This window comes from Homo sapiens, chromosome 9, assembly GCF_000001405.40.
Source record: "Homo sapiens chromosome 9, GRCh38.p14 Primary Assembly".
Classification (NCBI taxonomy): Eukaryota; Metazoa; Chordata; class Mammalia; order Primates; family Hominidae; genus Homo; species Homo sapiens.
The window spans coordinates 103,181,681-103,206,543 of record NC_000009.12 but is presented as its reverse complement, the minus strand read 5'-3'; the positions used below and the strand labels follow the sequence as shown (position 1 = coordinate 103,206,543).

Genomic DNA, 24,863 nt, shown 5'->3' with positions numbered 1-24,863 from the left:
TAGTTTCCCAATTTTATTGTAAGTGGTTTTAAGTTAAGTCTCATCCAAACAAGTTATCACACAGCACTTAACCAAGCCCTGGGATTTACTGACTTGATGACTACATGGCTTTGCAGTCTGAGATGCTTCAGTGTGCAAGGCAGCAGCTGGGGGGGAGGAGGGGGGTCTTCACAGGGACAGCTGGCAAGAGACTTCCCGAGGCACATCAGTTACGTTGGTCAATTTAGGGCACGGTCTGGTTCTGCAGCTTTGAAAGGTGGATTCTTTCTATTAGCACACTTTACAAGAGGGATTGTAAAGGATTAACTCAGTCACCAGAAACGAAACACCATTTCAGAAATTCAGAGACCTCTGATCAACAGAACAGACATTTGGGCTTTAATTGCTAAAGCAGCTACCTACTTGGGGAAACCATGGCATTCTGCTGCCTGGACAGCAGGAATTAAGAGAGATTTCAGAGTTGCTGGCACGAGGACAAAGCCTTTCAGCTCGCTTCACCTTGGCAACCTTAAACAGTCCCTCCTTGGTCTCCATGATAGCAGTATGTTCCTTTGGATAGAATACTTGGTTTGGAAGGATTGTAGTCAAATGTAGGATATGTAAGTACTCCTCAACAGTCACAATCCATCCTAGTATTTAAATAGTGATTTTTTTTTTTTTTAATTTACAAAAGAGGTTTATTGGACTTACAGTTCCACGTGGCTGGGAAGGCCTCACAATCATGGAGGAAGGTGAAAGCCACATCTCACATGGCAGCAGATAAGAGAAAAAAAAGTAGTGATCTTTTAGTAAAGAAACCTGAGACTGGTAGTGGGCTTGGAGCCAGAGGATCACTTAAGTCCGGGAGTTCGAGACCAGCCAGGGTAACAAATTGAGACCCCCCCCGCCCCGCCGCCAACTTTAAAATTAAAAAACGAAAGAAAAAATAGCTGGGTGTGGTGGCTCACACCTGTAATCCTAGCACTTTGGGAGGCCAAGGCGGGTGGATTGCCTGAGCTCAGGAGTTTGAGACCAACCTGGGCAACATGGTTGAAACCCTGTCTCTACTAAAACATAAAAAATCAGCCAGGTGTGGTAGCGTGCACCTGTAGTCCCAGTTACTTGGGAGGCTGCGGCACAAGAATTGCTTGAACCTGGGAGGTAGAGGTTGCAGAGATCATGCCACTGCACTACCAGCCTGGGTGACAGAGCAAGACTGTCTCAAAAACAACAACAACAACAACAACAAAAAAAAACAAAAAAACCTTTCAAAAAAATGAAAAAAATTTAAATTTAAATTAAAAAAAAAATGCTGGGTCTGATGGCTCACGCCTGTAATCTCAGCACTTTGGGAAGCTGAGGCAGGCAGATCACAAGGTCAGGAGATAGAGACCATCCTGGCCAACATGGTGAAACCCAGTCTCTACTAAAGAAGGTACGCGCCTGTAGTCCCAGCACTCAGGAGGCTGAGCCAGGAGAATTGCTTGAGCCCGGGAGGTGGAGGTTGCAGTGAGCCAAGATTGTACCACTTCACTCCAGCCTGCCGTGTGGCTGGAAGACATGGCCGCTCCCGTCGGTGTTGAGCACGGAGAGCAGTCTCAGGCCTTTAGTGATGATGATTAAAGGTGTTGGCTGTGGCCTTGAAAACAGTCATGTGAAAACTCATCACCTTAAGGTGTTAAGTGTAAGGATCTTCATGATGAAATTTCTGTAAATGGTGCAGTCAGCCTCAGTTTCCAAAGCCGGAAAAGGATCCTCTAGTAGCCACGGTGTGGCAGCTGCTCTGAACCAGGACCTGGACCCGGACCCAAAGTGCCATGTCTTTAATGTGTGTTAGCTCCCAGCGATGCCAGATGGGATCAGCACAGCCCTGCCTCTGCTGCTAATTGTTCCTCTAAAGTAATCGCCATGCGTTCTTTGGGCTTCACCTTTAAAGGAATGAAGCAACTGAGATTATTCTGGAAAACCTTTTGGCAGTTAGTGAAATTAGAGTACAACTAAGAACATTTTCAGACCTCCACTGTGGATGACCTGGGTATAATCTCACAAATCGATGGGACTGCAAGGATTGTAAACTGAAATGAACATGATTATACTCTGTTGGAAGAGCCTAAGAGGAAACTGATGCCATGAGTTTCAGAGAGTAATGCTTAACCCCAGTTACACAGGATGCCATCTTGTGTTTCCTCTTGTTTAGTTACCCACTACAGTGATTTTGTGATCTGCTAATGGTTGCCACCCACAACCATTGCTTTAGCACTTTTACTTCAAATCAATGAAGGATTGATAAAAGTTCTCCTGGTGTCTCCTCAGAGTGGCTTCCAGGAACAGATCTTTGCATAGAATATCAGTGGTTTCCTTTTTTGTTTCAAATAGTGGTCAGAAAATACCCAGTGTTGACTCACCAAGGCAATCAGCTTCCTTTTTCCCTTTTTTTTTACATTTTATATTTTTGCTTTACTAACGCTATTTTAAATTATAGGGACAAAAAGTTCTGAGGTCACACAGGAATTAAGATTTGGCATAACCATATGGTAGGCAGAATAATGACACCCGGAGATGTCCACATTCGAATTTGCAGAACCTGGGTGATTACGTTATCTTACACGGCGAAAGAGAACTTCAGTTGTGATCGATGTAAGGATCTTGAAATGGAAAAGTATCCTGGATTGACCAGGTATTTCTAATGTAATCACACAGGCCTTGATAAGTGGGAGGAAGGAAGGTCAGAGTTAGGGTTAGATTTGAAGATGTTATGCAGCTGCCTTTAAAGTTGAGGAAAGGGATCACAGGCCAATGAATTCAGGAATCCTCTAGAATATGGAAATCACAAGGAAATGGATTATCTCCTACTGCTTTCCAAAGAAATTCAGGCCTGCAAACAGCTTGATTTTATCCCAGTAATACATATTTCAGACTTACGACCTCTAGAATTATGAAGTAATACCATTGTGTTGTTTTCAACCACTAAATTTGTAGTAATTTGTTATAGCAGCAACAGAAAATTAATACACACTACCAGGTCAAAAATTCTAAAACTGGTGTTAGCTGAAAGCAAAGGAAATGTGAAATGCTAGTGGGAAAGAGAAGTATAAAATATTAATTACACCTCTGTGAACAGTGTAGAAATGAAGACTACAGCCTCTACGTAGCTTTCTTTCCATGCTGAGTCATGCCTTTCTTTCTTTTAACTAATTTCACTTTTAGTTTCCTTTTATTTTGCTTATCTATGAAGTAGGGGACTTCTGTGGTGGTGAGCCTTTTTTTGTTTATATGGTTGTGGGATATGGAAACAGATTAGTGACAAAACATGAAGGGGAATTTGCTTCACTTGGAGATCTTGTCTTTGAACCAGTTGATGCACCAACTGATGAGATTTCGGTGAGCTCTTTCTGGAATGAAGATGAGTCAATTTTCTGTTATTTTAAAAATGGTTGGCCGGGCGCGGTGGTTCACGCCTGTAATCCCAGCACTCTGGGAGGCCGAGGTGGGCAGAGCATGAGGTCAGGAGATTGAGACCATTCTGGCTAACACGGTGAAACCCTGCCTTTATGAAAAATACAAAAAAAATTAGCCGGGAGTCATGGCGGGCGCCTGTAGTCCCAGCTACTCGGGAGGCTGAGGCAGGAGAATGGCGTGAACCCGGGAGGCGGAGCTTGCAGTGAGTGAGCCGAGATCACGCCACTGCACTCCAGCCTGGGAGACCGAGCAAGACTCCGTCTCAAAAAGCAAAACAAAAGAAAAAAAAAATGGTTACATTATGTTGACTAAGAACAAGTGATTAAATCAATAGAGCCAAGTAACCCTACTCCTTAGTAAATAGGAAACAGACAAGTAAATTAACTTGATCAATCTGATGCTTCATTTGGAATTTGGGATTTGGAGTTAATGACACAAAGGAACAAGGATCCTTTAGAGTTCATTCATGGTGAAGAAGATAACACTATCAAGAGCAATATCCAGCCTCTTTTGTCAGTAGTATCTTAACCAGACTGTGTCCATGATATTGACTGTGTCACCAGCACCAGACCTTCCCTTAGATATTTGTGCTTATGTCAATTTTGTTTCTTCAATCTTTCCATAGATGCTGTGAATTCTCTGGCATCCTTACAATAAAATGTCTTTTGCTTAAATTATACATGGGGAGATTTACATGGAGAGAATCAAGTTTAATTTAAAGAACATGATGATATGCTTTAAAATTACTAGAAGGTAGTATTTTGCCCTGGGTCAGTAAACTTTTGGTCATTTCCAAAAGCTTACCATGGTTTCAGTGAAGTATGCCGTATTATATCTTAGATTCTTTTGCTCTAACCCTATGCATTTTAGACCAATGGCATAGTTAGATCATCTATAAAGATGGTTTATAAAGAGGAATCTATAAAGATCCCTAAAAGTAGAAAAATGACCTATAAAGAAGAATCTATAAAGGTTCCTAAAAGTAGAAAAGTGATCTCCTCAGATAAATAGCACAATTAATAGACATAACCATCATAATTTATATAACACCAGCATTTTGATGCATTCTTCTGGGTTTTGCATATTTATATGTTAGGTATATTTGACCAAATAACATTGTTCAGCTTTAGAGCTGCTGAAAGCAGTCAGTTTTTATGAAAGCAGGACCAATAACCAGATTTAGGCTATGCTAGTTCAGCAAGATAATGGCATCCTGGAAGGTATTTAGATAGTCAGCCTATTTTTTTTTTTTTTGTCTAGTCTGAATATTTCTTTACAAATTTTAAGAATAGGAAAAAGAAAAATATGTAGCATTTTTATTTCTGAGGTCATGATGGTCTAAAGTGCTGCAGAACTCCATCTATCTGTAGACCAGCAGTTTTCAAATTTTTGGTTTCAGGATATTTTTATACTCTTAAATTGTTGAAGACCTCAAGAGCTTTTGTTTATGTTAGTCATAGCTAATAATATTTACTATACTAGAAACTGAAACTGAGAACTATTTACAATATAAGAATATGTAAATATGCATACAATTATTTTCTGGAATGATGATGATATTACATTATAAGGTAACCTTTGAAAATCTCTACCATACAGACGAGAGGAAAAGGGTAAAAACAGCAAAAAATAACTTGGTTTTATTATAAAAATAGTTTTATCCTCATAAACCCCTTGATCTTGGAGACTGTCAAGATTCCACAGACTGTATTTTTAGAAATGTTGTTGAAGGCATTTGTAAAAATAACAAGTTTTTGTGTGTCCAAGATTTTATGAATACTCAAGCATAATTTTATTTAAGCTTTCACAAAAGCCTAAGAGCACTTAATATGGGCCAGTTTTGTGATAAATGTATTTCTGGTAAGTATGATTTACCCTTATGTAACAGAGAAGGAATCTGAAGCCAAAAGACTTAAGTAACCTGACTTGAGTGACAGTTTTAGTGGATTTCTGATGCAACCCTATTCTCTCCAATTTTGTCAAAGATGTTGCTATTTTCACTATACAATCCTTTCATTTTCCAAAAGTAATAAATGATATCTGTAATTAACATGCACTGATGCACACTTGATAACAGTTTTCAGGAAACTAATAATTAAACAAGGTTGCAGAGTTTAAACGACTTTGTGTGCAAAAGCCTTAAAATGTCAGCATCTGAACCACGTGTGGGCAAAAGTACAAAGAAAAAGCCTGATTCAAAAATAGAAAGTAATTTATTTAACAAGCAAGGAGCCAAGGTATATGGCAAACTCAGGAACGGAGAAACTGTTTTTGATATTAGATCAGAAAATACTGCATGGAAGAGGCAGCATTTGGGTTGGACCTCAAAACGTGAACTATCTTAAAGTTAAGACAAAGAAATAAATAAACATTAAAATAGCTGTATTCTATTCCCTGGATATTTGCCAAGCCAGTCATTCCATTTCAAATGGAATATGAAAACAATAATTCATTAGGGTGGATGAAGTATATATTCACCAAGGGAAACTCAGATACTGATACTGATTGTGCAGCTAAACAATAATCAGTATGTAGATAACTAAGGGCATTTTTATTATACATAACAAATATATGTATAAAATGTATTAATTTTTAGGGTTGAATTTTAAGCATGTATTGCTTGTTTTAGCTATCAACTGTCATTATTTTATTCTAACCTCAATAAAAATATCAATGTATGTCAAAAAAAGAAATACAATGTATTCACATATATTAGAGTACAGATTATTTTTGTTCAATAACTCACTATTATATAATTTTTTTAGAATGTTGATTAATGTCCCAAAACATTGGACAGCAAATTTTTGAATGTGTGTTGTATAGAATGATATTTTCATGAATGATAGAGTGAAATGAACTTTTCAAGTTTTTATTTTTTTTCTTTTACAATAAAACAAGAAGTTTCTTTTTTATAAAATAAAGATCTTTAGTGAAAAGAGGACAAAGGCTATTTTGACCTTTAGTTTTTTCAAAGGGTTAGAGTTATATAATCACCAAGATTCCTGTCAAAAAAGACAATTTTATACAATTGGCTATTTAGATGAAAGATTTCTACTTTCTCTAGAATTTCAAAGACCTGTGACCCTACAAGGAAATGGGGACATTATTTATGCCTATTCTTTCCATTCCTAGGTTGGGACACACAGTTTGTTCATAGTGTGTAGAACTTGCTACAAATCGCTTCACTTACTTTTCTTTTGTGTTAGTTCAATAAATGAATAAATTCACATCAAAAATATCTTTAACTCAGTGAGAACTTGTTTAGAATTTCAATTCCACTCCTTAATAGCTAGGTGATTTTTGTTTCATTTTTCTTTAATATTATACAAATTAATTCAACAAACACCAAGTTGAATGCCATTATGCACTTGGCATTATTTGAGCACTGGAGGTAGAGACGTGAGCTGAGATAGTCTCTTCTTTGTTGTGATTGTGATTTCAACATGATAAGAAATGACACATATGAAAAGTCTAGCATCATAATTTCCACATAGCGTATTTTCAATTAGCTATGAGTAAATACTGTTCCTTCTCTTTCTTTATGGGCTAACATATTTTTCAATGGTTAATACATTTGTTTTTAAGCACACCAAGCGAGAGGTTAGATGTGATTATTTTTAAAGTCAAGTTTAACATTATTTCATTTATCTTGAGAATTGCTGTATAAAAATTTGTGATCAAAATGAGTATCTTGGGCATATAAAATTTTATGATAATTCTGTATGTTGATCTATTGGCAAAGTTTTAAATGTGAAGAAGATGGCTGCTTCATGCCAGGGAAACCAAACGGAAGCATTTTGTGGCTTTTTGTATTTCGTTTTGAGTTAATTGTAAGCATGCCTTAAAAGTTGTCTTTATCTTCTATTTTATTATAATACTTCTATGGTTAGGTTATTTTAACTCCCAGGATAACATAGTTGTTTCTGAAAAAATTAAAACCTGCTTTATTGTTTGTGGTGATAGTAATAGAATGGCAGTCATCACTTCAATTTGGGAAATATAGGACTGCAAGATCCTATGGTAAAGACTTACATATCATTTATGTATTCATATATATCTATTTACCTGTATATTATTTATCCACCTTTCTCTCTGTATGTCTTTCTTTTGAAAGAAAACACACACAGACTTATATATACATGGTTTTTTTTGTATCATGTTTTCGAACTGAGGACCATGTCTGTTTCTTTTAGCAAGGTGCCTCCAGTTCTTAGAATGAACACATAGGAAGCATTTAAAAGTGTTTGTTGAAAAATTGGATAGGTGGTGATATGGTTTGGCACTATATCCTCACCCAAATCTCATCTAGAATTGTTATCCCTATGTGTTAAGGGAGGGACCTGGTGGGAGGTGATTGGATCATAGAGGTGGTTTCCCCCATGCTGTTCTCATGACAGTGAATTCTCATGAGATCCGATGGCTTAAAAGTGTATGACACTCCCTCCTTCTCTCTTTCTCTCCTACTCCATTGTGGTAAGATGGGCTTGCTTCCCCTTAAGCTTCCACCGTGATTGTAAGTTTCCTGAGCCCTCCCCAGCCATGTAGAACTGTGAGTCAGTTAAACCTTCTTTCTTTATAAATGAAACCTTCTTTTTTATATAAACCCAGTTATCAGATAGTATCTTTATAGCAGTATGAGAACAGAGTAATACAGTTGGGTTAATGAGTGAATCTAGCTAGGAACAAATAGTGAGAGCACAGATAAGGGAGACATTTAATTTTGCTGTGGAAGTTTTGTTAGGGTAAGTATTATTTGAATTAATACTTAAAGAATGAAAAGATGTGCATTAGAAGAAAAATGTAAAAGGAAACTTTCCTGGTAGAAGGAACAGAACAAGCATATCATAAAATAGAAAGCATGTTGTAAATACTGGGGATAACATGGAGTCAGTTAGTCAAGATCAGAGCATACACAAAAGGAAAAATGACAGGTACACTCATACAAGTAGGTTTATGGCATATTTTAGCATATCTTTGAATATTTTGATAAAGACTGAGTTTTTTTTTTTTTTTTCCTTAAGTGATGAAGAGTTAATCATTAACTGAAAACAAATAATGCACTTTTTGGATTCTAATAGAGAACCCATTACTGGACTTAGTTTCCTCACTTAAAGAGTAAAAGAGTTGGTCTGGCTATAGTCATTTCGGCTTTAATATAGCACTAATATAGTATCATCATTAAAATCAAAACTATCTGATCTAAAATTATACATTCAGTTTTTTGGAGGAACATAAATGACTTCTTGTATCTACTAAGTGGTTTTCTACTAAGTAGTTTTCTGCAATATTCTTTTTTCTTTCTCTCTTTTTTTTTGAGACAGAGTCTTGCTCTGTTGCCCAGGCTAGAGTGCAGAGGCACGATCTTGGCTCACTGCAACCTCTGCCTCCCAGGTCCCACTTCAGCCTCCTGAGTAGCTAGGACTACAGGTAAATCCTACCACACTCGGCTAATTTTCATATTTTTTGGTAGAGACAGGGTTTCACTATGTTGGCCAGATTGTTCTCAAACTATTGGCCTCAAGTGATCTGCCCATCTTTGCATCCCAAAGTGCTGGCTCACAGATGTAAGCCACCGTGCCCAGCCAGTTTTCTGCAATATTCTTTGCAGTTGTTAGTATATAACCAAATTTGGCTAATTTATTTGTTGTCAAACAATATTTATATAGATAACTCAATTTCATCTTTCTTTCATATAAGAAATTTTCCTAGACCTATGAAATCATAAATAATATTCTGATTCAATATTAATGGTTACATTAGGGTGTATCAATTTTAATTTGTTTTTGCAAAAAAAGTGAATCATAAATAAAAGCATAATAATAGATCAATATTTATATTTAAGTACATATTTTATGTATTTTGTGACATGTTCATAAATAAATGGTTCTTATAACAACATGCAATGTATCTAATGACGTTAATAGCCTAAAATACTTTACTATTTGGCAAACCCTGTATATTCAAATGTGTTAACTCTTTCTGACTGAAGCATTTATATTCCCATTGGTAGTTGTGTGACAGTACAGCACAGTGTTTGTGAGTCTCAAAAATCCATGTAATTTTGAGAAGCAGTTTCTTTACTCTGATTTCTACTCAAGACTGAGGACAATGTCAGGAATTAATACTTCATTCAGCCAAATATCAGTACTATCTTGTGGTGTTTTCTTAACCTTATATCAAAATTCTACCCTACAGTCAAATCAACTTGAGGCCAGGTTTCAAAGGCTAAAATGTATAACTGCCTTTGAGCAATGAATGGGAGTCTGAAATTTTAGCCTGGGAGCAATGTTTTTCTGAACTCTGTGATATCTCTAAATCTTGATGTTATGTTGTACATCTGTTTTCATTGTTCCCTTATGCATTACTTTTGGTACAATTCTCTTTAGTCTTGTCTGTTCTTTTAACCATATAATACTTCAAAAAAATGTTGTTTTGCTTTCTTTTTTTGTTTGTTTCAATTTGGGTTTTTGATAGTTTATAGAAATAATTTCAGATGTACAAAGGAGTAGCAAAGTTAATAACGGAGTTTTGTAGATGCTTCACCCAGCTTGCAATATTAATTTTGTGTATAGTCATGATACTATTATAAAAACTAAGATAATTGGTACAATAATATTAGCATTGGTAAAATAATATTAACTGAACTAAAGTGGTAAAATACTAATAAGCAAACTTCAAACAATTTATATTTCAGCATATTTCAACTAATGTCCTTTTTGTCCTTGAGGATCCAATCCAGAAGCCTACATTGCATTTAGTTGTCCTGACTTCTTAGTTGTCTCTGGTTTGAGACAGTTCAATAGTTTTTGTTTGTCCCTCATGATCTTGACAATTTTGCAAGTATTTTGTAGAATGTCTCTCAATTTGGATCTGAAGTCTCTCTGATATTTTGTCATAATTATATTAAAGATTTGGATTTGGGGGAAAAATACCAAACAGGCAATAGGCTTTGCTGAATGAGTGGATTATGTCAACAGTTCAATGATGTTAGTATGGCTCATTAGAGTGATATGAACCTTGATCCCTTGATTACAGTGATATCTACTAGGTTTCTTCATAGTACAGTTACTATAATAAATAGGGGCAAAAAATTTGAGATTGTACAAATATGTTATTTATTCGTGTACTTTTGCTCACAATTTTTTGCCTACAATGATTATTATATGGCATTCTAATGATTATTTTCTATCTCCCTCATTTTTAGAAATGTATTAATTGGAATTCTTGTGTAAGAAAGAGTTGTCTCTCCTGCCCAGTTTACTTATTTATTTATTTATTTATATTACTATGAACTCATTAATATTTACTTTATTATCTGGGTTATAATATAAAACTATAATTATTAATTTAATTGCTCAAACTCTGTTAGCTTTGGTCACAGGAGCTCTTTCAGATTGGCTTCTATGTCTTTTTGATGCAGGTGAGGCCTAAAATCGGGGTTTAGGCCAGGATGGTTTTTGGCTTTGTCCAAGAAAGAACATAAGTGAGCCAACAGAGCAAAGGGAAAGCAAGTTTATTAAAGCAACTGAGTACAGGAATATGGCTGCTCCATAGAGAGAGTAGTAGCAGCAGCAGCAGCAGCCCTCGTGAATGGCTGGCTAGCTATTTTTAGAGAACTGTTCCTTGATTATATGCTAGATAAGGGGTGGATTATTCATGAATGTTCTGAAAAGGGGGTAAAGGGTTCTTGGAACCAAAGGTCCTTCTTCTTTTAAACTATATAAGGTAACTTCTGGGGGTTGTCATGGCATTTGTTAATTGTCATGTTTGTAGTGGGAGTGTCTTTTAGCATCCAAATGCATTATAATTAGTATGAAATAAGCAGTGAGGGTAACCAGAAGCTGCTTTCATTGGCATCTTGGTTTTAGCTGGTTTGGGCTGATTTCTTTGCTGCATCCTGTTCTCATCAGCTTCTGTTTTGTTCAGTGGGGTCTGGTGACTGGTTCTCAGAAAACAAGTCCTACTGATCTCTTGAACCTCATTTTGACATGTCTCATCTTTTTTTCATTTTTTTTCTCCTCTCCTTTAAAATTTTATCACTTATTTACCTCCTGGAACCACATGAAATTCCAGGGTTAACTTGTATTTTTCTTACCCCAGTCCTGGAACCAACTACTTCTCCATTGAGCCTTGGTTCCTTTCATTAGGTAATGATATTTAAACACTCAGATCTGTGCTCTAGTTTTATTAGTTGCTGCTAGGGTATCACTGCTTCTGCAAACTCTCATCAGACAGAGACAGGAAATGTATTTATGTAAAGTAACCGAGGTATACATATTTTTGTATACTTTTTGTATGTATATATTTTTAATTGAAATCATACTGATAACTCTAAATCTAACCCAACGCTACAGAGTTTATTATGTCATTCTCTCTTTGATTATTTCTAACTTATATTAGAGAAACATGGCTTTCATTATCTACAATATATATGCTGATACTAGTAAAGTAGTTCAGAGTTGCTATTTCATGCTCTTGAGAGAAAACGTTTACCAACTAGAGTACCATGCTCGTGTCTATTTCTTTTGTTTATTAGCTGATGATATCTGGTCAAACAGTGTTTTACAATGTTATTCTCTCAGACTTTAATTTGTTTGTTCTTTTTCTACCTCCTTAAATGAGGTAATATTACTCACTGTTAATATAGTTAGATTCATTCTGCATTCTGTCTTGGCTATTTATTAAAATTACATATGGTAGAAATCACTCTTTATGGTATTATATATAGATGCACAGAATTGTGTATCTATATATACACAATATTATATAGAACTATTCTATCACCAGAAAAATTTCCTCTTGCTGTCTTTTTTTGCAATCAACCACTTCCCCAATCCTAACCCATGACAATTAACTGATGTGATGTTCTTTCCTATAGCTTTATCTTTTCCAGAATGTCATATAAATTGAATCATGCATATGTGGCCTTTGGGTCTGGCCTTTTTCACTTAGTCAAATGCATTTATAACTCACCCACATTGCTGTGAGAACAAAGAACTCATTATTGTTTCTTGCTATGTAGTATCCAATTTATGGATGTATGCATTTTGTTTAGGTATTCACCATTTGAAAGACATCTGGTTGTTTCCAGTGTGTAGTAATTACAGCGAAAAAAATCCTGCTATAAACATCCTGGTATCGATTTTTGTGTGAACCATTGTTTCTTTTCGCTGGAGCAAATACAAGTGGAATTGGTGGGTCATAGGTTAGGTATAAGTTTAACTTTATAAGAAACTTCAATATTGATTATAGCATTTTGCATTTCTACAAGCAATATATGAGAAGTCCTATTGTTCCACATTTGCCAACATCTGATACTGCTTGTGCTTTTGAATACAGTGTTTCCAAATGTGTGTGTGGAGATATCTCATAGTTTTAATTTGCCTATCCTAATTAATAATGATATTGAGCATCTCATCATATGCATATTTGCTATCCACTATCTCTTTTGGTGATGTGTTACTTCAGGTATTTCGCCCATTTTTTGTGGGGCTACTTGTTTGCTTATTACTTAGCTTTGAGAGTCTTTTATGGAATAGTTATGAGTTGTCACTCTTTGAATAACTAATTTGCAAATATAATATTTCAGTCCACAGCTAATTCTTTCATTTTTCCTTTTTCCAGCCTTATTGAGGTATAATTGACAGAAAAAAGTTTTAATATTGAAAGTGTACAACTGTAACCCAACTCTAGCTGTGTGGAACCCAATAACAAGAGCAAAATATGGTAGAAAGAAAGTAGCTTTATTTACCATAACTAGCAGTGGTTAAGTGGCTGGATTCACTTCCAAAGTAAGCACTTCAAACTTTAGGCTGGGGCAAGGGGCTTAAAAGGGGAAACTTGGAATGGGAAACATGCAGGAAGGGTGCTGAGTATAAGGTCTGTGTGTCTTATTCCAGTGGCTATCTCAAGCTGTGGTCCACCTGGATCATGGGCTGGTGTCATCTCAATGATGTCCAAGTTGTTGACTAACTGCCTTGAGGTATCTCCGAAATTTTGCAGCTAGTTCTCTATGCCTGAAGGTCTGTTTCAAGATTAGCCACTGAAACTTCCATGTAAGGACACAATTAGAAACAAGCATACAGTTAGATAAATGTGTATAGTGTAAGGGAGTGTATAAGAAAGGGAAGGACATGGTATTTGAAAGAAAGTACATTTCAAGGCTATAGTTTAAGAATAAAAAAAGGTTTCTCTAGCTAGTTTCAATGTTGTGTCTTGAGACTAGAGAAAAAAAACAGAAAAAAGGAAAAGAAAAGTTTTAAAATGCCTTTTCAGGCTAGATTGTTCAGTGACACAATGTGATGATTTGATAATTTGTATATATTGTAAAATGATCACCACAATCAAGTTAATTAACACATCCATCAACTCACATAACTATCATTTGTATGGGTGAGGTGGCGAAGATACTTCAGATCTGCAATCTTAGCAAATTTCAAGTATATAACACTGTATCATTAACTATATTCACCATGCTGTACATCAGTCTCCAATCTTTTTGGCACCAGGAACCAATTTCGTGGAAGAAAATGCTGCCACGGATTGGGTGGGGAGGATGGTTTCAGGATGATTCAAGTGCATTTCATTTATTGTGCACTTTATCTCTTTTATTATTGCATTGCAATATATATATAATATAATGAAATAATTATACAACTCACCATAATGTAGAATCAGTGGGAGCCCTCAACTTATTTTCCTGAAACTAGATAGTTCCACCTGAGGGTGATGGGAGACAGTGGCAAATCATCGGGCATTAGATTCTCATAATGCGCAACCTAGATCTCTCGCATGTGCAATTCACAATAGGGTTCACGCTCCTATGAAAATCTAATGCTACCACTAATCTGACAGGAAGCAGAGCTCAGGTGGTAATGTGAGTGATGTGGAGCGGCTGTAAATACAGATGAAGCTTTGCTCACTTGCAGCTGCTCATGTTCTGCTGCAAAGCCCATTTCCTAACAGGCAAGGAACCAGTACCAGTCCAGGGGTTGGGGACCCCAACTGTACATGCTATCAGACACTTACTTCTTGTTTCTTCTATCTAACTGTATGTTTGTACCCATTAACCAGCTTCTCTTCATTCCCACCCCCAATCCTTCCTAGCCTCTGGTAACAATCATTCTACTCTCTTAAAGCACTGATCTGCTCTTTAACAAACATTGGTAAAGGATTATAAAGGGTTTATGAGAATCTCACCTCATGGTCAAATTGGTTAAGCATAATAGCAAGGGTTATAGGCCTTTAACATACTCGATAGGCTTCCCAAAAATCAAATTTCAGCTTTAAAATTGTCTTTTCTAACCCCTAACTTTTGGATGCTACAGAGGGCCCCTGGAGCATCCAAAAGAGATGTAAACAGGATTATGTGACATGCTTAGTTGCATGGAATAGTCAAAATAAAAATAATGTTTAATCTTCTTCAGGTTATATTTTAGTGAATAATATTAATATATGCTCCAAAATTGCATGGGATTTCTAAAATTCTAATGTCTGAGTATATGCTATCAATCATAATTAAGGTTATTATATTAGATTATTGCTGACCACAGAAATAACCAAATTTCCTTGTCAATTGTGTCTTTATGACTATTTAAAGTCATTTCCATGGTTAATTGCATAATGCTGATATAGTTTCTGAAAAGTTCACTAGCATGCAAAATCCTAGAATATGGTGTCTTAGGAGGTTCATGAAAGGATGGAAAGGACCCTGAAAAGCATTCTTGAATATAGCTTTCTAATAACTTTAAGTTTATATCATTTGGACTGGCTAAGAATTCCTGAAACTTTAACAAAAACTGGTTTATAAAACTGCTAACCTAAGCAGAACAAGAATAAATTGAATACCAAGAAAGTACTTTGCCAGATTTTCATGTTAAATCAGCTGATACATGGTCTATGTCAAATTACCTATGATAACCCATTAGTTATCAGTGCTATGCACTTAAATTTGAGAAACAACAGGCATTCAAGAGGACATAAGTCCAATGTTACACATGGACTCATGGGGAACAAGAACAGTTGCAGCCTTGTCCTTCCTGAGGCTTTAAAGCTTTTGTTTTTAAAAGTTCTGCATTCCGGCAGGGAGTGGTGGCTCATGCCTGTAATCCCAGCACTTTGGGAGGCCGAGGCGGGTGGATCATGAGGTCAGGAGATCGAGATCATCCTGGCTAACATGGTGAAACCCCATACAAAAAATCAGCTGGGTGCGGTGGTGGGTGCCTGTAGTCCCAGCTACTCAGGAGGCTGAAGCAGGAGAATGGCATGAACCTGGGAGGCAGAGTTTGCAGTGAGCTGAGATCGTGCCACTGCACTCCAGCTTGGGCGATAGTGCAAGACTTCGTCTCAAAAAAAAAAAAAAGTTCTGCATTCCATGACTCATGGAGAAGATAAAATGATCCAAATTAAATGTATATATTTTGTGGTGGCTACCAAATTGCTAAAATAGTTTATAGCCAACGTTTGGTTTGTTAAATCCATATTCCTGGGAAGACAATCAAAACTTCAGGTACATTTGGCTACCTGATGGGCCATTTAAACATTTATAAAGGGATTTCATTCAATTGTTACTTTCAATCCATGTTTTCTGATTGTAGAAAAGCTTCCCATACAAGAGGGCTGATGTTATAATAGTAGATTATTATGCCACAGTGTATTTTCACGGTGTAAAGAAAGCTTTTTATGGTTCACTGAGGACAATCAACCTCTTCACAATCTAGAACCTGAAGATTGGATCTGCTGAGAATATCAGAGAAAGACTATCCTTGCCATCCACACTACAGCAAAACTTTGGGAACTTAAACTTTGGGTTCATAGTCTCATAACTCAGAAGGGTCCCTCCACGTTCTTGTAACTGTACACTGATTGGAACCCTTAAAGTAAAGCTAACTAGGAAAGTTTCTCCCCAGAAGAAAATGATATCCTTGATGTGCTTTTCCAAAAATCACAGATCAAGACTTCTCTACTATCATGAAACTCTTATCTTTGAATTTTTTTCCCTTGCTTATGCCTCTATGAATGATAGAAGTGAAAAGGGGATCTCTTATACGTACTTATGGGGTTTAGTTTTATTAGTGAAGGATTTTGCAGACAGCCTTATACATGGATGGCTTATACTTTGATACATAAAGATGAAGGCTGATGCAGGTGAGAAAATTTAATGTACATATACTGCCTCATAATCAGTCAGAAACAGAACATTGGTTCACTCCTCTTAAAACACATTGTGGGTTAAGGAGAACCTTGCCAGAAGGCCTTCACTCCTCTATATTTTTTCCAATACGTTTTTTGGGAACAGGTGGTGTTTGGTTACATAAATAAGGTCTTCAGTGGTGATTTCTGGGATTTTGGTGCACCCATCACCCGAACAGTGTACACTGTACCCAGTGTGTGGTCTTTTATCCCTTATTACCTCTCACCCTCTCACCCAAGTACCCAAAGTCCAGTGTATCATTCTTACACCTTTGTGTCCTCATAGCTTAGCTCCCACGTATGAGTGAGAACATATGATGCTTGGTTTTCCATTTCTGAGTTACTTCACTTAGAATAATAGTCTCCAATATATATCACATTTTCTTTATCCAATTGTTGATTGATGGGCATTTAGGCTGGTTCCACATTTTTGCAATTGCAAATTGTGCTGCTATAAACATGCATGTGCAAGTATCAAGAAGTGTTTAAATCCACCTATGACCTGAAAGCCCCTTCTTTGAGATGTCCCACCTGTCCAGGCCAAAGCAATGTACTTCTTGATCAGATTCTCCCGGGGACTGAAAGCTCGAACGGATGAATAACTCCTCCCTCCTCAGGCCCAGTCCCAAGGCTCAAGGCCATTTGCATCAGCAGCAAAAGCCAGCAAGATAGCAGAAGCAGGAAGAGAGCCAGCAGGAAAACACATACCCTGGCTTGAAGACATACCCCTGAAGTTCGAGAAAGAGGCAGTCCGGGTACGACATAGTAGTCACGTCAGACTGCAACACTTCCTGTTTACAGAGGACTATAAAACCCCTGTCCCATCCTCAGTTGGGGCTGATGCCATTTTAGGCTTCAGCCGGCCTGCACCCAGGCGCTCATTAAAACGGCATGTTGCTCCACACTGCCTTGTGTTGTCTCTTGGCGTGCTCCCAGGGTTCAAACTCATAAAAGAACCTTTCACTTCTTACATGTATTGCTTTATGTATCAGCGTGTAACTTCTTTCTCTCTAAAATGTATAAAATCAAGCTGTAACCCAACCACCTCAGGCACATGTTCTCAAAGCCTCTGGAGATTGTGTTTCTGGCCTTGGTAACTCATATTTGGCTCAGAATAAATTGTTCAAATACTTTACCGTTTGACTCTTTTGTTGACTATTTTTTCTGCTTGTAATTTGTTAAGGAGTTTCAATCTGTTATCAATTCTGGAAAATGTTTACCAGTTACCACATTAAAAAAAATGCTTCTTCACTGTTTTTTACTCAAGATAGTCTATCTGGGGTACAGGCTACTTACCAGAGTTGTCCTACTTGCAGCAACGTGGCAATCTTCTAAATTTGTTTTGGCTTGTGGGGAAGAGAGACTAGAAAATTAACAAGTGCTTTTTTCTGGCTCATGTCAGAAGTGCTACAGTCTCTCTTCAATTAGCAGATCTCGACAATGGTACTGCCTAATTAGAAGGAGGCAGGAAAGTGTAGATTCTCTTATTTTCAGGAAAGAGCAGAACATGGCATAACTTAACACAATGGTTCATTCTTCCTTCATAGGTTTAATACTTTTGGAGTGAATATTCATCATTAGTTAATCTTGAATGTCATTTACGTAGCCAATGTGGTGGAATAATTTTATATATACTTCTTTAATATCTCCCAGGGGTATGTGAAAAATACATTTGAATTGTAAACCAACCTGGGCACTGCACCAGGCCTTATCTTGCTTTTCTAAATATGGATATTACGTATCATTTATTTTAATCTCAACTTGTAATAGTAATTTGTATTTTATACCTCATTTTTAGCTGCTTATGTGTCTGGAATTGGTGGGTTCTTGGTCTCACTGACTTCAAGAATGAAGCCACGGACCCTCGCGGTGAGTGTTACAGTTCTTAAAGGCGGCGTGTCCGGAGTTTGTTCCTTCTGATGTTCGGATGTGTTAGGAGTTTCTTCCTTCTGGTGGGGTTCATGGTTTAGCTGTCTCAGGAGTGAAGATGCGGACCTTCGCGGTGAGTGTTACAGCTCTTAAGGCGGTGCGTCTGGAGTTCTTCATTCCTCCTGGTGGGTTCGTGGTCTCCCTAGCTTCAGGAGTGAAGCTGCAGACCTTCGTGGTGAGTGTTACAGCTCATTAAGGCAGTGTGGCCCCAAAGAGCGAGCAGCAGCAAGATTTATTGCAAAGAGCTAAAGAACAAAGCTTCCACAGTGTGGAAGGGGACCCGAGCGGGTTGCCACTGCTGGCTCCCGCAGCCTGCTTTTATTCTCTTATCTGGTCCCACGGACATCCTGCTGATTGGTCCATTTTACAGAGAGCCGAGTGGTCTGTTTTGACAGGGTGCTGATTGGTGCGTTTCCAATCCCTGAGCTAGACACAAAAGTTCTCCACTTCCCCACTAGATTAGCTAGATAGGGAGTGTTCACACAAAGGTTCTCCAAGTCCCCACCAGAGTAGCTAGATACAGAGTAGTGATTGGTGCATTCACAACCTTGAGCTAGACACAGGGTGCTGATTGGTGTATTTATAATCCCTTAGCTAGACATAAAGGTTCTCCAAGTCCCCACCAGACTCAGGAGCCCAGCTGGCTTCACCCAGTGGATTCCGCACCCAGGCGGCAGGTGGAGCTGCCTGCCAGTCCCATGCGTGCACCTGCACTCCTCAGCCCTTGGGTGATCGATGGGACTGGGTGCCCTGGAGCAGGGGGCGGAGGTCGTCAGGGAGGCTCAGGCCGCACAGGAGCCCACGGAGGAGGGGGAGGCTCAGGCAGGTCCCGAGCCCTGCCCCCCGCAGGGAGGCAGCTAAGGCCCTGTGAGAAATCGAGTGCTGCACCGGTGGGCCGGCACTGCTGGGGGACCCAGCACACACTCCACAGCCGCTGGCCGGGGTGCTAAGCCCCTCATTGCCCGGGCCAGCCTGCCGTTCGGAGTGCGGGGCCTGCCAAGCCCACGCCCACGCGGAACTCCAGCTGGCCCGCAAGCCCCGCGTGCAGCCCAGTTCCCACTCGTGCCTCTCCCTCCACACCTCCCTGTAAGCTGAAGGAGCCAGCTCCGGCCTTGGCCAGCCCAGAAAGGGGCTCCCACAGTGCAGTGGTGGGCTGAAGGGCTCCTCAAGTGCCGCCAAATGGGAGCCCAGGCAGAGGAGGCCTCGAGAGCGAGCCAGGGCTGTGAGGGCTGCCAGCACGCTGTCACCTCTCACTTAGACACAGGAGGTCTAATTAATCTTTCTCTAGCACCTTCACATAATTTTGAGTTTAGCAAATTACTTTGACTTTTTATTTGTTAAGTGTTCTTATTCTTTTTGTTTCTTTACTTTTATTTTCATTTCTCTACTGCATTGATGCAAGGATATTACTTAATTCTCCCTCCCACTAAGCCTTTTACATTTACGTCCCTAGTCTGGAGGTTCACAGGATGTTTCTGTACTTAGAAGTTACCTTAACTTATAAAAAGCAAACAAACAAGCAAAAATGCACGAATGCTATATATAGTGATAATCATCAGCTCTAATCTCAGTAGAGTACAACAATCTTAAGTGCTTCAACTATTAATATTCTCTTCCTGTATACTGTGTCCTTTTGCTTGTATCTTAATATCAGCTTATTTTCAACCACAAAATTATTATTTGTCTTTAACTGTAATTATCTTTATTTTGCTCTTAATCTTGAATGATACTTTAGCTGGATTAAGAGTTCTAAGCCCCTGGGGTTGTTTTTGTTTTGTTTTAGTTTGGTTTGGTTTTCTCTCTTCAATTATTTAGACAATTAAGTTTAATACTTTCTTGTTTTGTTGTTGCTGATAAGTCTATTATCTATTTACTAAAAATTCCTTTATGACATCTATAATTTTTTAGTAAATTTCTGCTTTTAAAAATAGTTTTATTATGATGTGTCTAACTGAATGTGTGTTTTCTTATTCTACTTAAGAATTGGCATGTTGTTTTAATTAAGAACTTGTATATTTTCTTAATTCTGGAAATTTCTCAGACATCTAATATAATTATAAATCTCTGCCAGATTCCTATTTAATCTTTCCTTCTAAAACTTTATCCCATGCATATTGTTTTAAAACGTGTCTCATAAATTGTTGATGAAAAAAACTTCAACTGAATTAAATTTAAAGGAGTTTAATTGAGCAATGAACAATTTGCGAATTGGGCAGACTTCTGAGCCATAGTAGGCTCAGAGACTCCAGCACAGCCATGGGGTGAAAGAAAACTTATGAACAGAGAAAGCAAAGTGAGGTACAGAAAAAGAAATTCAGGTGCAGAAACAACTGGATTGGTTACAGCTTGGTGATTGCCTTATTTGAACACAGTTTGAACAGTTGGCTACATTTGATTAGCCAAAACTCAGTGATTGGCACAAGTGTAGGCTATGGTCTGTTTACACCTCAACTTGTTATGGTTCACAATGTACAGAAAAACCTTTAGGCCAAACTTAAAATATGTAAGGAGGCAGCTTTAGGCTAAACCTGATTTAAAATTGTCATTTTTATTCAGAGAGAAATGTGGAGTTTAACTTCTGCTTTATATCTCACTAACCAGGTGACTTTAGTTCACTTAATCATTTTGAGACTTATTTTTCTCTATTGTAAAGTAAGTATAATAATGCTACCTGATGTTTTTTGAGAACTAAATGGCATAAGTCATTGTATTAATTTTCTGTTGCTTCTGTAACAGATTACCACAAACTTAGTGACTTAAAACAAAAATTTATTATCTTACAGTTCTTGTGGTTAAAAGTTTAACATAGATTGCACTGGGCTAACATCAAGTTCAACAGGCAGTAAAATCAAGTGTTGGTAGAACCATTTTGGAGGGTTTAGGGGATAATCTAGTTTTTTTGCCTCTTAAAACTTGTTGGGTCTGCCTGCATTCCTTGGCAGGCAGGTGGCTTCCTTTCTCCATCTTCAAAACCATCAATGGTGGATTGAGTCCTTCTTATCACTCTAATCACTTATGTGATTACATTGGGCCCACCTGGTAGTCAAGAAAAATCTTCCCATCTCAAGGCCTACAATCTTAATAACATCTGCAATGTCCCTGTTGCCATAGGCTATAACATATATTCATATGTTCCAGGGACTGGGATGTGGACATCTTGCCAGTGAGAAGGAGGATTATTCTGTCTACCACAACATTTATAGAGGACTTGATATCTAGTAAGAATTCAAAAATATTATGAACATATTGATGTCAGAAGAGCTTAGAAGTGAATTTGGCTCTTTGTAACTGTGAACTGTGGGCTCTTAATAGTTTGAGATAATCAATCATTTGATTTCTCTTTTTGAAATCCCTGTAAGATAGGAGTATGTATGGATACCTTAGAAAATCAAGAGGATATTCTGACATAGTATATTTAAAATAGTTGTAATTCATTTATACATTTACTTGAATCATATTGTGTACATTAGCAACAGCAAACATGTTGGTGGGTAGTGACTAGGGGCAGACAGGGTGGCTTTAAATAGCAAACTATGGCACATGAATTAATTTATTGCCAAAAAGCACTACGTGTATACATACATACACACATTTGTGTATACATACACACTGTGATAAGTAATAGCACAAATTACAGCAATAATTGGTAGCTGATAGCTATGTAACAGATGTCAAGATTAAAGGGGACTAAATACATTGGGGATTCCCTGTTTAACCAATGGGTTTAATTAAAAGGTTTGTTGACTTTTTAACTTTGTCAGCTATTTCTTGCTCAGTAATTAAACAGAATCTAGCTAATTCCTTTGAGGGTGTTTTTCAAAGCCTAATAAAAACATGTATCATTTGTAATCAACTTTTAATGTTAGTATTAATATAAGTGTAAGGAACATGGCTGTGCTTTGGTCAAGGAATAGGCTGAGGCAGACATCTGGGCCAGAGTGACTCAGCAAGTTTGGAAAGCAGGTGCACAATTCCATGTATAATGTAAACACAGCCATGTAGCATAGCATGAGAAGGCTCGTCATTTGGCTCTACGCCAATATTGTCTGTAAAAGGTATAATTTGCCCTGCTGACATTGTACAGGCACGCTTGTGCCCAGAGAAAGAGAGAGTCAGAGTTGTCCGTCTGTGCAGAAGACAGGGAGCCAGGACACAGCTCAGCTCACTCGGTCCCAACGAGAGAAAGAGTTAAGCTGCTGACCCTGAAGGCAAGGGAGAGCCTGCCAGGCAGCTGTGTGTGGGAGCTGCCAGACTAAGCAGCTGAGACAAGGTGGACAGTGTGAGAGAACTAGTGTGAGTGAGATGCTGATGGGAGAGCTGCTGAATAAAACTACATTTCACCTGCCTATGGTCTCGTGAGTGTTCTTTCATCTATCTGCTCATCCACCCATCTCTAGATAGTATTAAAATTACTTCAAAACATTAATCTGTTACATTGACAATTTTAGTATTATGTGCTATGTTGTAATTCCTGTTTCTGCTCATCAAATTATTTATTAGCTCAACAGAGTTATTGTACTTGGATGTGCAGAGCTCATACAAGCTGATAAGAAAAATACTAAGACAGTATCAAAAAAATAACTTTAGTGGAAAAGTCACAGGAGATTTTAAAATATGAAAAACTGAAAAAAATATTGAATCATATAAAATTGCCAACATTGTTAGTCAAATTAGTCTATATTGGCAATTTCATGTGTTTCTTGTTTTGTTTTTTTTTTGAGACAGAGTTTCACTCTTGTTGCCCAGGCTGGAGTGCAATGGCACGATCTCTGCTCACCACAACCTTCGCCTCCCGGGTTCAAGCGATTCTCCTGCCTCAGCTTCTCGAGTAGCTGGGATTACAGTCGTGTGCCACCAATCCTGGCTAATTTTGTATTTTTAGTAGAGACAGGGTTTCTCCACCTTGGTCAGGCTCGTCTTGAACTCCCGACCTCAGGTGATTTGCCCACCTTGGTGTCCCAAAGTGCTGGGATTACAGGTGTGAGCCACCACACCCGGCCTCAATTTCATATGTTTAAATCTAGTAGTTTAAGAGATGTTAAAATGAAATGGAGAAAAACGTTATTTGGAGTTTTAAATTACCAAGAATAAAAACTTTCATAATTAATATCAATAAGGAAGAAGAGGGACATATTGAGCAATTTCATCTTAATGAACACAAACAGCACTACTTTACTGGAAGTATATTGGCAACATGTACTAATAAATTTTAAAAAATAATTTAAATGGAGAACAAGAATTTTAATAGAGAACAAAACAGATTATTATATATATGTTTATATGTATAAATATGTTTATGTGTGTGTGTGTATGTGTATGTGTGTGTGTATATACTTATATATAGAGAGAAAAAGAGATAGATAAACTGAAATCTTTAGTAGGCCATGTATTTTTTATTCGTTTTGGATATGTTATTAAATTTTATATGCCTCCATTTTCTCATCTCAACTGTAAAGTACAAATAACATGAAAATTAAATTTTATCATGCATTGTCTGCTATCAAAATATAGCAGTGCCTCATATATAATCAGTAATAAACTATTGGTAATATTCTAAATGAACAGTAGTAAGGAACTTTTTAACTAATTTAGGGTTCTTGTATCACATAAAATAATAAACATCTTTCTGTACTTAATTTATAACTATTGCTGATGAAATTCAATAATACTTTGATATGAAGTTCAGTGAAACAAAGTAGGACATAATCTTTTATATATGGTATTATTTCAACATTGAAATCTTATTCCAAGAAAGATTTATACTGTTTTGAAAATACTCAAAACCTTCAACTTTAATAAGACCACTCTGAAGTGCTGCAAAAATATTCATAAACTCAAGTATTTTGATAGTCTAATAAAAATATATTAAAAAATGAAATTATACCTAAGCAGAAACTTTGGTAAATATTTTTCTGATTACAGGTAAATCTTTCAAACGTAAAATCAATGGTTTTTAAAATTGATAAATTTGATAACATACAATCATTTAAACGTTCTTTCCAAAAATCAAACCTGTTAACATAAACATTAATTTATCTGAGGCCAGAAAATTTAATATCTTTTCAATGACATCTCCTTTATTAACCATCTAAATTATCTTGGAATACTTGGGGAATTTCCCATCATACAAGTCTTGGTGGAAAGCAGAGCTGGTTCCCACCCACAGAAGCTAAAATGGAAGCTTTCTCAGAACATTTGGCAGTTCAGGTAGTGCTTGCGACCTCAGCCCCATCACACGGCTTTATCCACCCAGAATTTTCAATCAAGAACTAATGACAACAAGGTAAATCAACTATGGCTTCTGT

At 37.4% G+C, this 24,863-nt stretch overlaps 1 long non-coding RNA gene across 1 annotated transcript in view, besides 2 other annotated features; it reads left to right on the top strand.

The window, feature by feature from the left end:
- LINC01492 (long intergenic non-protein coding RNA 1492) overlaps positions 1-24,863 on the top strand; it is a 184,506-nt gene that overhangs the window by 118,490 nt on the left and 41,153 nt on the right. The window contains exon 8 of the long non-coding RNA NR_121578.1: positions 18,428-18,498. This is a non-coding gene — a long non-coding RNA (long intergenic non-protein coding RNA 1492). The remainder of the gene's footprint in view (positions 1-18,427; positions 18,499-24,863) is intronic.
- Positions 18,852-19,415: an enhancer, noted in NCBI's record as "H3K27ac-H3K4me1 hESC enhancer chr9:105949411-105949974 (GRCh37/hg19 assembly coordinates)". NCBI's record gives its function as "activates a minimal SCP1, AML or CMV promoter by ChIP-STARR-seq in naive H9 embryonic stem cells {active_cell/tissue: H9 hESC(naive)}" and the evidence as "EXISTENCE:reporter gene assay evidence [ECO:0000049][PMID:30033119]".
- Positions 19,416-19,979: an enhancer, noted in NCBI's record as "H3K27ac-H3K4me1 hESC enhancer chr9:105948847-105949410 (GRCh37/hg19 assembly coordinates)". NCBI's record gives its function as "activates a minimal SCP1, AML or CMV promoter by ChIP-STARR-seq in naive H9 embryonic stem cells {active_cell/tissue: H9 hESC(naive)}" and the evidence as "EXISTENCE:reporter gene assay evidence [ECO:0000049][PMID:30033119]".